The sequence below is a fragment of the Homo sapiens genome, chromosome 6 (genome assembly GCF_000001405.40).
Source record: "Homo sapiens chromosome 6, GRCh38.p14 Primary Assembly".
Lineage (NCBI taxonomy): Eukaryota > Metazoa > Chordata > Mammalia > Primates > Hominidae > Homo > Homo sapiens.
Genome location: NC_000006.12, coordinates 61,806,892 through 61,820,909, shown reverse-complemented (window position 1 = coordinate 61,820,909; position 14,018 = coordinate 61,806,892). Strand labels below are relative to the sequence as shown.

The window sequence follows — 14,018 nt, the reverse complement described above, 5'->3', positions numbered from 1 at the left end:
TGGCTATCCAGGTAGCACATTGATTCTCTCAATTATCTGTTGTTTACTACCATTCAATTTATCTCCAAAATAACCTGTTATTAAAAACCACAGACCTAATAAATAGTTTGACTAAATGTGTCCCACATGCATGGAGAAGACCATAAGAAATCTGCCAGCAAATGAGATCCCTTCTGCATAAATGGATTGTGTATGTCTGTAGTCTGCAAATTTACATTAAAACAGGAATACAAATGTGACTTCCAGAAAACACCTATGAGCAAAAATTATTCCTGACAGGAAGCAGGGATTGGTTTGACCCTCTAATTAGTTTATATTTCATCAATTCTAAATTGATTTTCCAGAAGTAAACTCTCCCTAAGATCTGAATTTGTTAATCTGACTAACTGCTTAAAATAGCCAAAATATAATTTCTGTTCTATAACCTCAGGCCCTGTCAAACCTATCTTTTCTTGAATATTCTTCATCTTCTCTATAATATCTCTATTCACCCACTGCTCAAGCCCAAAATCTTATATTTCATTCTATGTTTCTCTATTTTCTCACCTCCCAAATCAAATCCATCAAGAAGTGATTTTGGTTACACTTACAAAACGCATCCTGAATGTCCCCATCCATGGTGTGGTCTGATCTGAGCCATCATCATCCCTCAACTAGAATCTCATGAAAGTCTTCTAGTGTCATCTAATGGATCTTCAATGTCATCCCATGGTAATTTGAAAAAGTTAACCACAACTCTTTTCACAACTGACCAAAGCTACTTGCTAGCATCTCCATTAACTTTCTTTCTGGCTCAGACAAGTGGCTTTGTGCATATTGAGAGCAAGGTTCTTGAAACAGACTGCCCAGGCTTGCATCTTGGCTTTACCACTTTCTAGTTTGCACGAGTTAATGAACCTTCCTGTGCCTTACCTGAAAATAAAGGATAAAATGCTACACACTTCACAGGGTGTTTGACAATGCTTTTTATTGTTGAGAACTTCACTTTTGTTCATTATTTGGGACTTTGGCACCTGCTAGTTCCTTTAATCAGACTGCTTGTTCCCAGCTCTTGGCTTGGCCATTTTATTCTTATCAGTTGGTTTCAGTTAGAAGTCAGCTGTTCAGACTTATCTTGCCTCATCTGCCTGCCTATTTCTTTCAAATCTCTTAACATCATCAATTATCATGTTCATTTGTTTATTTTTCTGTATGTCTTCACCTAAGTGCTAGGAAATGGAAAATTTGCTTTCTCTAATATTGAAAACAATATTTATAAACATGAATCAAATTTAATGTAAGGCCCTATTTGGGAAGAACAAAATTGTTTGTGGACCTCATTTTATCTCAGAAAGAACAGTGCACTCAGTTACTAATCAATAAAACAAGCAACAAAATGCCGAAAACACAATATTGATATTGTTTATAGATATATCTGTATACAGCATTAAGAATGGACAGATAAGATATGTATCAACTTGAGAACTGTGTATGTCTCTCAGGAAAGAAAGAGGGGAAGAAAGTCACAGTAGGGACAAAGTAAGCTCCAACATTTTGTTTTATTTCCTTAAGTTACATTATATTTGAAAATATTTTGAGAAATTAATATTGAAATGTTTTTATTTAAATTATCAATTAAAATTTGGTGTAAAAATTATTTCCTGAATCCCTTATTCTCTTAACCCTTCATTTGGCCTCATCTGAATATTCATTTCCTCAAGATTGATTTGTATGAATGAAATCATTTTATAGTTTACACATTAAATACCTCCTGCCTTTCAAAAGGGCTAAAGATTTCTCAGTGGTTAAAATGCATTAAGATATTATAGCTAAAATAAGCATTTTTAGAAGAAAAATATATTGGAAAAAATTAAGAGAAAAAAAGAGAAATTAGAGGAAGTAGTTAATTCAATTATTCACTAAACTAACTACTGAGGGTATTATAGATTTTCCCGAACCTTTTGGGCTCCAAAAACGCAATTCCTAGTAACATACATAAGAATGTATATTTTCTTTGACCTAATAATCAGATTTTGAGGACATTATTCTGAGGAAAAAATATCGCTCAAAGTAACAAGGAAAAACATTGTTAGGGGGAGATAAAACTGGTTGGTATAATTTTTATGCTTATTTTGTTCACTTTGGGGATCTGGAAATCCAGTTTTACTATCCTTCAGGACTTAGCAGATTCTGGGAAAATGGCTTACAGTAACCAAACCTACAGGAAATGGATGAGTATAATGAAATATTAATTTCACCATTTACAAAAAGAGGCACACATTTTCAATGACCTTTTTGTCATTCCATTGTCCAGTGTCAAAAATGTGTGGTGAACGTGGAACAACAACATGATCTTGAAGTGCATTTCTTCTAGGCACTGTTAAACCATATGAATTCACTCTAGCCCAGACCCAGTATGAAGAGACCAGGATCCTTCATTTCCTGGATACTACTTCCTTAAGTCTGTCAGAGATAGTGCAGAATTAACACTCCCAATTTTTTAGCATTGGTGCTTCCACTTCTCTTTTTAATCATTATTTCTTCTATTCATCTTAGTATATTATATTAAATTTCAATAACTTCTTGAGTCCCTAACGTCTTTTTTCTATCCTTTTCTCTTCCCCTGTCTCTGCATTGCCTACTATCCTTTTTTTTTTTTTTTTTACTTACAGAGGTTTTCTCTGCCCAATATTCTGATTTTAACAATTGAAAGGTCTTTTTTAAAAAGGAAGGCAGCAAAATATCCTTTCTGAATGGAACTGATGTGAAGAACAGTAGAGTTGCATCTTACTTATCATAGTAGATATTATCTTGGCAAGTTGAATAAGAAATAATAAGTGAAATTCCTAAGTAAATTTGTGGCACTTTTAGGGATTTTTCCCTGTGATTCAAGCCTCTGGGTTTTAAGACGGGAGATGTGGACAATGTGCTAAAAATATTTAATGACTTTAATCTATGGGAGTTGTCGATCAAAATACAGAACTCCACATGGACAGCCTTAGGCATATCAACACTCTAATTACAGAAAGTCTGGCCTGTCACCAATGTTTCAACACTTGATTTATTTCCTGTTCAATTTATTCAATAGAGCCAGAGTTAATTGGTTTTCCAAATGAGTGTTAAAAATATAAAGAGCTAGCTTCATTAAGTGGAAGCTATACTTATTATGCACCAATGACTTGTAAGTCTATGTAAAGGTTAGTAGGGTGAAATTTCAGGGCATTGTATACAAAACCACAGCTTTAAGTTGGCACTAATATGGCTAATAACTAATAAATATCCAAAGCCATAATGGTTCATAAAAACAGAAAAGTTTATGAACTAAAAATTCTCTCCAAAATCGAAGGTATTTAAACAGACTGTGTAAAACATAGCATTGTATTTTTCAAATCTAATGCATTTTACTTTCTTTAGAAAGAGATATTTAGATTTTTCTTATAGCAAAGGAAAAAAAGTCTAATATACCATTGGATATGTAGCACACTGTGAGTATTTTTATATAGTGCTTAGTATTTCTATAATTGCCATTCTTCTATGGTACAGCAATGAAATTAATGTGATATTTTGACACCATAAGTGACAAATGGAGGACTAAATAAAGAAAGTTAATATGTATTGGGATAGTTCTGGGCTCCTACGTGGACACAAGAAAATCATAAAGTGGTGATTTTCATCTTACCATTTTCCACAATAAGTGCTTTTTTAAAAAACTTGAACACCATCATCAGTAATGTACTGTCAAATGTAATTCTCAAGAAATGGAATCATCATTTTGGAATTGAGTCATCATTCAGTGGGCAGCATTTACATTCTTTGTAGAAAAACTAGAGAAATGTGATTGCTTTGTGGAAAGTTTTTTTAGAAAACCTGAATATTATCCACAAATATAGAACTCATACCTCTGTACCTCTCCTTAATGTTTCAGCCATCATTACCACTTTCCTTGTTTTTTGATACGGTGGCAAAATCTCACCAGGTAAGTTGTCTCAAGTAGAAATGCTAAAGATGGAAATGACTAACTTCTAGCTACTGCATAAATTGTAAAAGTGTATGGTTTAAATTAGGACAACACTCATAGATTTAAGAGGAATATTTTTCACACTAAAATATTAATATAAAATGTATGTGGGAGAGTTCTAAATGTCACCTTGAATGAATATGGTGAGTTAATTTTGTTTCATTACGTAATATGGCATTCTACATTTTAGTAGATTTATTCTTTAAGAATAAATGAGTCTGTCTTTGCAAAACTGGATTTTCAAAACAGATAACGCTTGTATTTGTTTCATAGCATTGTGATAACGAAGTACCACAAACTGGGTGAGTTAAAACAAAAGACATTTATTTTTCTCATAGTTCTGGAGGCTAGAAGTCCAATATGTCAGCAGGGTCGTGCTCCTTTTAAGACACAGGGTAGAATCTTTCCTTGCCTCTCCCTGACTTCTACTGTTGGCCATCAGTTTTTGGCATTCCTTGGCTTGCAGCTGCATTACTCCAGTTTCTTCCTCTGTCTACACATGTATTCTCGCTGTATGTCTCTGTCTTCACACGGGCATCTTCCTTCTTCATATTAGGACACCAGCCATTTGGAATTAGGATCCATGCTAATCCCATGGATCCAAATTTGATTATATCTAAATTTGATCTGCCTCCAAATTTGACTATATCTAAAAAGACCCTATTTTCAAATAAGGTTATGTTCACAGTTTTCCGGGGTTAGTATTTAAAACATATCTTTTTGGGGACACAATTTAACCAATAACAACTTTTTTGTGGAAGTATTTTATACATTGTAAGCACTATGTGTAATTATTTAACTCAAATTTAGTTATTGTTTTAACAAATAGAAGTCTAAGGGATACTATTCCATCTCAAAACAGTGTGCTTTTAGATTTGGTAGAGTGAGTTTGGGCTTACTAAGGAACTTTTGGTATTTATGAGTGCTCTGTTAAGCTAAGCAGCATGGTTGAAAATCCTTCCCACAATAAAATATTGTGTTTATTGATTCAGCTTTAATATAAATATGCATTATAGCAGCACATATTTTAAAAATACATTTATCAGGACTTTTCAATGCAAAGGTTATTATCAACATATGGTATTATGGTAAGTACCAGAGACAAGTTATATAAAACCTGATCAAGAATAAAGAAGCCACTCAAAGTGAAAGCAGTGTCCAGGATCATTTGCTTGGTTGAGTATATTAATTCTACAGATTTCATTAAAAGCAAGGACAAAAATATTTTCTTCCTCAATAATTACTTCAGGGATAGAAGTGTTCACAGAGGCCATATTTCCAAGGTCATGGAATTATATGCTCTGTTATTTCCCTCTTGTTCATTGCCATTGATCCTAGAGATAATCCCAACCAACCTCTTGTAAATGCAAAGTCACCAGATCATTTTAAATATGTGAATAGTTTGGCAAGAACTCGTTACTTTTGCTAAAACCATAAAGTACATACCTTGTACTTGTGGGTAAAAAATGGCATTTGGAAAGCTAAAATATTATCGTAGTTCCTTCTTATTTGTGGTTTTGCTTACTGCAGTTTCAGTTTCCTGCTGTCAACCATGGTCTGAGAATATTAAATGGAAAATTTCAGAAATAAAAAATTTGTTAAGTTTTAAATTGTATGCCATTCCAAGTAGTGTGATTCCTTCCCACTCTGTTCCTCCTGGGACATGAATCATCCCTTCGTCTAGCATATACATGCTGTATATGCCACATGCTTGCTACTGTAAAGGAAAAAACATAGTTAGGTTTTCCCCCTGTATCCATGGGTTTTGCATCCATGGATTCAACCAACCTGGGGTGGAAAATATTTGAAAAAAAAAAATGAGTGGTTGTGCCTGTACTAAACATGTACAGACTATTGTCGTTATTTCCTAAACAATGCAGTATAACTACTATTTACCTAGCATTTACATTATAGTAGGTATTACAAGTAATCCAGAGATGTTTTAAAGCTTACAAGAGGAAGTGTGTAGGTTATATACAAATACTTTACCATTTTATATAAGGAACTTGAGCTTTTGTGCTCAAGTTTAGTTAACCTGCAGAGTCCTTAAACCAATCCCCAAAAGATGCTGAGGAACAACTGTATAAATAGCTTTCAGTACTATCCACAGGTTCAGACATCTGCTGGGGATCTTGGATCATATCCCCAGCAGATAAGGGGAGACTACTGTATTTTCACTGTGTTATTTATGCCCACCCCTGACCACACTCATTTGAACCCAAACAAACCCATACAATTCTAAACTTTGGGTAAAGTGAAACCATATTAACACTATATATAGTTTTTTGTTTGTTTGTTTTTGTTTTTTGAGATGGAGTCTCAGTCTGTCACCAGGCTGGAGTGCCATGGTGCGATCTCGGCTGACTGCAACCTCCAACTCCCTGGTCAAGCGATTCACCTGCCTCAGCATCCCAAGTAGCTGGGATTACAGGCACGCAGCACCACACCAAGCTTATTTTTGTATTTTTAGTAGAGACAGGATTTCACCATGTTAGCCAGGATGGTCTCGATCTCCTGACCTCATGATCCACCCTCCTCGGCCTCCCAAACTGGGATTTCAGGCACGAGCCACCGCTCCCGGCCACATATAGTTTTTAATGTAACTAATTAGTTCTTAGATTGGGGTGTGTTCATTTATTTTAATTTCAGTCATAATGAATTATAACATAATACTAAAATAGAAGAGAGCAGCAGCTCAAAGTTCTGATGCTTATTCAATAAGTAAACACCATTCCATCCTGAAGAATTCACTTGATATCTGTTTGCTACAGGATTCAAAGAATCATAGAATCACTCATTTGAGTGGACTTAAAAGTCAGCTAGTATAAATTTTCAGCCACAGCTTCATAAATAAATGAATAAATATGTTGCTTTATTTCATTAATCTAATTGGAGTTCAACCAGACTTAACCCAGGACGAAGCTTTTTTTACTGGCATGGAGGTGGGAGTGGGACTGAGTTGTTCATCAGGATTCTGAACAATAATAAGAGGTAAGTAAAAGCAGGGAGTAATAATGGAGGCAAAGTGCCTAGTGTGTGTCATACTACTACTTCTATGCACTGGAAGGTCACCAAGGAGGAAAAATACTTTTTCTTTGTTATAATTAACCACTATCTAGTTTATTCCAGACAATGAGTTAATTTCATTTAACTCTTATGGGATTTCACTATATTAATATTGATAAAGTAAAAGCAGTTCTGCTAGTAGAACTGAGCAGGGAGCTGATAATTCAAATGGAAACTACACTATGCAAGACTGTACTATAATTTATAAAACAGAAGAACTATACCAAGTAATGACATGCATGACTATCTATCCTGCAAATGACATGCAAAAACTATCTAAACGCATACTCTTCTAATATTAGCTTACTTAAATCTATATACACCATCTCAAAACCACAGACAATAGTAACTCCTCACAGATTAATGTGGTTCCAGAAATTCCTAGGTTTGCAAATCCTGCCTGATCCCTACCAATTCAATGGTCTCCCTGGTGATGTGGTCTCCTTGCAGTAGCATGCTATTAAACCTAGTTTAACAAACTATATAGTTGGGTTCCAATGGCCTTTAGTAGTATAATATCAAGAATAATTCTGAACACAGTATTGTCACATTACAGCAAAAAAGATGGTCTTCCATCAGAGTAGTCTATGCCTCATTAACTGAACCAACTCTAACTTTCTCATCTTGGATCATCTTTCTTTTCCTCCTGTATGTCATTTTCATAATACCAGAATACTTTTTCCATTCTAATTCCTGTATATGTTCTTATATTTGATTTTCTTAAAATTGTTACTTTCATTTTCTTTTCCATTACATTTTAATAATACATATAATTTACATATACACATTTACTTTGCACATTACATATAATGGTAGAAGCAAAATCTTTTTATTTGTTGCAAACTATGTTAGATTTTGAGAGGCTTCCAAAATAAAATAATAAGTGTCTTCAAGTAACTTAAATTATCATGATCTTAACATACATGTGAAAAGACAACTATATACATATAAATGTGAAAATACGCCGAGGCCAAGGTACAAATGTGAAAATGTACTGAGGCCAAAGGTATTAGAAAAATATATAAATGAGTATATCTCAACTCTCAGACTATGGTTTATTATCAATATTTTTTGTTTTTGTTTCCTTGTAAGGAATGTTACCACATTAAATATGTATTTATTCTGTTTTACAGAGTAGTGGTTTGTTTTATATTTTATCCTTTTATTGCCAAAGTTGACTATGTGAAATGTATTATGAATCTTTCTGATGTTACAGTTTCCTTAATATGAAATTCAAAGGTATTAGCCATTAAAAGTTATAAACTAGCTGATTAATGGCTCTTATTTTTCATTATAATATACGATGCATTTATACTAATTATTTTACTTACCTTTGACTTTGGTTCACTTATTTAATATTTATAAGTTTTAGTTTCCTCCTGGGTTGTTGGAAAGATTAAAACAGATGATTCACTTAAAGCTCCTCATGAAAGGTCTGGCATTTAATAAGCATTGTCTTTGGAGTTATTATTTATCACACATTTATTGAGCACCTACCATGTGACAAGCACTCTTCACAGTACTAGGAAGTTAAAGAGGTATAGTACACTTTTTATTAATGAACATTTCAAGGTTTAATTATCTGGAGAATGCAAAATCACATGGGTTATTTTAAAGAGTGCTGAAAGGCTGTCTTGTCTCGATGGTTGGAAGTAGATAAGAGAAGGATGGTGAAGGTAAGTGAAATTAGTCACTGTGGTTATAAAGGAAGGTAAATTTTAAAATTAGCAGGGCACCCACTAGTATCAACATAGAATAAAAAGAAAATGTATACAGAATCCTGAAAGATACAAAGATCTTTTCCATATGCTATAAGATAAAGATATGAACTTCATTAACTTTTTACAATAATAATTAAAGAAGATAATTTTAATGGAAAAGATATAAAGTCTGTGCTATAGGCATTTTCTTCTAGAAACTAGACAACTTTTGATTAAATCACACTGGAACTGGAATAAGTGTAAACCGAATTGTACATGAAGAAACATCAGATTTTATCGTGGGCTGACTATAAGTCTCAAAGGAGTAAAAGAAGGAATTTTGTGACATTTAGGTATCTGATTTGGTAATATGTAAAAGCCAACTATAAAAATGTTAAATGTGTTTAATCTTGGGAATAAAAAAAATCAAGAAGAGAGGAACAAGATTGAGCAAATGATATTGAAGCTGAGATATCAAGAAACATGTTGGTTCACTCACACGGTCAGACTGTCTATTAGAAAGTCAAAAATAACAGATGTTGGCAAAGCTGCAGAGCAAAAGGAACACTTATATACTGTTGGTAAGAATGAAAATTAGTTCAGCCACTGTGGAAAGCAGTTTGGAATTTTCTCAAAGAACTTAAAATAGAAGTACCATTGGGCCCAGCAATTCTATTACTGGATATATACCCAAAGGAAAATAAATCATTCTACCTGAGAGACACATGGACTTGGATGTTCATCGCAGCACTATTCACAATAGCAAAGACATGGAATAAACCTAGGTGCCCATCAGTGGTGGATTGGATAAAGTAAATGTGGTACATATACATCATGGAATGCTATGTGGTCATAAAAAGGACCATGTTTTTCGCAGCAACATAAATGCATCTGGAGGTCATTATCCTAAGCAAATTAATGCAAAAACAGGAAACCAAATATCACATGTCCTCACTTATAAGTGAAAGCTAAATCTTGAGTATATAAGGGCATAAAGATGGAAACAATAGACATTGGAGACTCCAAAAAAGGGAAGGAGGGGGAAAGGGCTGAAACACTTGTTATTGGGTACTATGTTCACTATCTTGAGTGACAGGATAAATAGAAGCCCAAGCCTCAGTATCATACAATATACCCCTGTAACAAACATGAGTATGTACCTCCCTGAATCTAAAATAAAAATGGAAATTCTAACTTAAAAAATAATAATAAAATAAAATGGTTTTCCATGGGGAGGAATAGGACTAGGGAGTAAGAACAAAAATGCATTTAAAAAACACATTAGTCCTAAATCTCCCTTTCCTTTGTACCCCCAAAAGAGCCCACTCATTCATTGATCTTTAGATCACAGTGCATTATTTTACTCTATTCTTATTTATTAAAGATGTAGCTTATTTTATTCAATTCTCAGTCCCTCTCTAAATATTCTATAAGAGTTTTGTACCTGAAGTCAGTATTTTTGCTGTCTTTATTTTCTTTTTAAATGTGTAATAAGCAGTACATATTTGATAATCTATCCAAAGTCTCTTATGTATGGCAGTATTAGTATTTTTTTTCATTCTAATATACATTTTTATTAAATTTTTACATTATTTACAAATTTGTAGGCTTCATTATAATAACAAAGCATTTATTATTTATTAGAATATACAAGTATGTTGTGACCTGATGGCTGGAAAATGCTGCTCTGGAGAAATTAACACTGGCTAGGCAGTTGAGAAGAGGTGTAGGAAGCCCAAGGCTTATATACATACAACAAGGCCCTGTAAGTATGATTGCTCTGCCACTCCATTCTGGCCTGCTATTGAATTGGTCATCTCTCAACACCACACATCAACCTCGGGCCTGACCTCAGCAATGTCACTTGATCATGTCCCTTCAGGGCATAGTCTAAAGGCTGCTGGGCTAGTTAGTAACCTGACCTCGCTCTCAGTATTCTGGAGTGATCAATATTACCATACAGAGGCCATTGCAGGACACTCACTGGTGACCCACTGGCTGGTATCACAGTCACACTGAGAAACCAAGGTACGGATGGAGAATGCTGTACCTCAAAGCCATTTGCCTCCTAGAAGTGTCCAATTCAGTGATTCTGGATCTTATCTGTCATAGTCTACCTTATTTAAGACCCTGTGGGACCTCCAGTTTCTCAATCCTTGCTCCTGTAGTATTCTTTTCAACATCAATTTTCTTGAGATACTGCTAAAAGCGATATATTTTTCTCTTATACTTTACAAAAATTGTCTTTACATTATGAATCTTCACAATGATGAAACTAAAAATATTCAGTGACTGGTGCTCCAGAATTTCCCGCATGATTTATACAGCTAAATCCTTGCTACAGTATAAAAACTGCAATATTTATTCATAGCCTTGAAGTTATTGAAAAGAAGAGGTTGTCAGGTAGGGTCTTGATCAGAATGTGTCTAAGAAGCTCCATCACATTTGTCAGATAAGTTTTTGAGGTTGCCATTTTCTGGGCACAGCAGTTTAACCTGACATTGGTTTGCAAAGCTTAATAAAAAGATTTTGCAAACCACATTAGTTCAAGTATCAATAAAACATTGGCTTTAGGTTTTTTTTATTGATTTGACATCAGCTCAGAAGAAGGCAGGAGTATGAAGGTCAATTTTTTTCTTAAGGTATTTTGTAGAGACCTGTTCTGATAACAGCTCAGATATTACAATAGCTAAGCATTTCAGGCTTGTGTGCAGTAATATCCTTTTGCATGAAAAGTTGCCCAAGTTTCTAGCTAACCAAATGTCAAAGCATGTACTTGGGCTGTAAACTAATTCGTAGCAAAACTCATTAAGAATTCTGGTTGCAGTAATAGCTTTTCTTCTATTGCCATTGCCTTTAATGAGAAGCAGAACAACAGAAGCCACATTACTGGTCTGACAATTTGTTCTATTGATTTTTTATGCCTGCTCTGCTGCCATCTACAGGAAGGAACTACAAAACATTAGACTGGTATTAGTAAATTTGACTTCTGCAAATATAGTAAAAAGAGGCTAGTGCTTAGATGTGATACCATTGCATGACAGTTTACCTTCTTTTTTTTTTCCCAGTGGAGTTCACTGGCTAAAACATAGATAAGGAATACATATTCAGAAAATCATTATTATAGACAATTTTTATTTCAATCATGGAAATAAAGAAATAGATATTGCGTTTAACAAATTTTCTAAACACATTTTATGCCAAATTTAATTGAATTTCATTTAACATTCTACTTTTTTCTTCCCTTTATTCCTTTTATATAATTATTTGTATTTTGTTTTAATTCATGTAAAAATCAAGAAAGAAAAAAAGAAAATTTGAATTTAATTTAAAAAAAAGTAAAGATACATGAAATATCAATACAGATGTATTTTTTACATTCCTGTAATCTTTTATCTCATTTCAAATCCTAAAATGTTCAATTTTTCATTTAGTTACAATTGCAGTCATTGAAATACAGAAATGAAGACTGTAATCCAAATCTAACCTAAAACATTCATTTCTCACTTATCTATTTTTTGATGTTTTATCCTTAATGAGCACACACTCCAAAGATATGACTCTGGCAGTAGCCATTTTAGAGTTATATTTAGGAGAAAATTGATCATCTCACTGAGAAATCACATTTACCCTTGATCAATACTTCTTCAGAAACCTAATGCTAAAACTCAGTTTCATTGTAATTACACTGACTTCTAGTAATAAATGTATTTAATGGAACTAGAACTAGAATTCTGGATATAGTTTCATGTTTATAACCTAACATATAAAATATAAGTTTTATGTTTTCTTTTAGGGCACATTTGAATACTCCAACTTCATATTAATGGATTAGTATCAATTTCTACATATCTCTAGTGGACATACATAGGAACTGGGTACTGAATGTGATTGTCCCTTGAAAATGAATTCTACTTTCAAATATTTAAGATTAATCAGTTTCATAGATTTAAACTACTAGTAGTGGTTGAGCTTACACCCCCACATATTACTTGACTTTATATATTTAAAATCATTTTAAATAAAGCTTAAATAAGTAAATAGGTTTGCCAGTGGAAACATTACTTCTCAAATAAGATGCCCATTGAGCAATAAGATGGAGCTTACTGGGTGAACATCCAAGCAGTTGCTTTAAGTGACTGAAAAAGTATTTAATTTGTTCTTCAGATCTCTCCGTAACATGACACTTGATTTAATATTGTTATCCAGTGTGAGTCTTATGGCTGGATTGTTACAATCTCCGTATGTAACACACTGAGTATGTAACAGAGTCAGGTTACATACTGCCATATGATTTCTTTATTATTATTATTTTTATTTTAACTTTTAGGTTCAGGGGTACATGTGCAGCTTTGTTACATAGATAAACTGTGTGCCATGAGGGTTTAGTGTACAGATAATTTAGTCACCCAGTTAATAAGTATAATATCCAATAGTTAAATTTTTTTCTGATCCTCTCCCTCCTCCCACCCTCAACCTTCAAGGAGGCCCTAGTGTCTGTTGTTCCCCTCCTAGTGTCCATGTGATTTTGTTGTTTGTCTCCCACTTGTGAGACACATGTGGTATTTGGATTTCTGTTTCTGAATTAGTTCTGCTTAGGATAATAGCGCCCAGCTCCATCTATGTTGCCGCAAAGGACATGATCTCATTCTTTTTATGGATGCATAGTATTCCATGATGTATATGTACCACATTTTCTTATCCAGTCCACCATTAATGGACATTTAGGTTGAGTCCATGTCTTTGCTATTGTGAGTAGTGCTACAATGAACATACCTGTGCATACGTCTTTATGGTATAATGATTTATATTCCTTTGGGTATATACCCAATAATGGGATTGCTGGGCCAAATGGTAATTCTTTAAGTTCCTTGAGGAATTTCCACACTGCTTTCCACGATGGCTTAACTAATTTGTACTCCCACCAGCAGTGTATAAGCATTCCCTTTCTCCACAACCTCACCTGCCTCTATGATTTTTTGACTTTTTAGTAATAGCCATTCTGACTTAGGTGAGATGGTATCTCACTGTGGTTTTGATTTGCATTTTGCTAATGATCAGCGATCTTGAGCATTATTTCCTATGCTTATTGGCCATCTGTATGTCTTCTGTGGCTTCTTATTCACAAAGTAAAATATGTTTCATCACAAGAAGGGGATATTTCAAGGTAATGTAGACTTTTCATCCTAAAAAAAATGATTTGACATAATTAAAGACAGTGAGTACAATATAAGCTTAATTTAGCTACCACACAA

The 14,018-nt window shown here is 33.8% G+C and overlaps 1 protein-coding gene across 7 annotated transcripts in view; it reads left to right on the top strand.

The window, feature by feature from the left end:
- The window catches only part of KHDRBS2 (KH RNA binding domain containing, signal transduction associated 2), a 743,556-nt gene that overhangs the window by 465,316 nt on the left and 264,222 nt on the right, over nt 1-14,018 (top strand). Inside the window, exon 7 of one of the 7 annotated variants that reach the window (NM_001350622.2) lies at nt 3,905-3,955. The exons of the other annotated variants lie outside the window; for them this stretch is intronic. Within the exon in view, the coding sequence (NP_001337551.1) occupies nt 3,905-3,955 (51 nt within the window). The remainder of the gene's footprint in view (nt 1-3,904; nt 3,956-14,018) is intronic. 7 annotated transcript variants of the gene reach the window in all.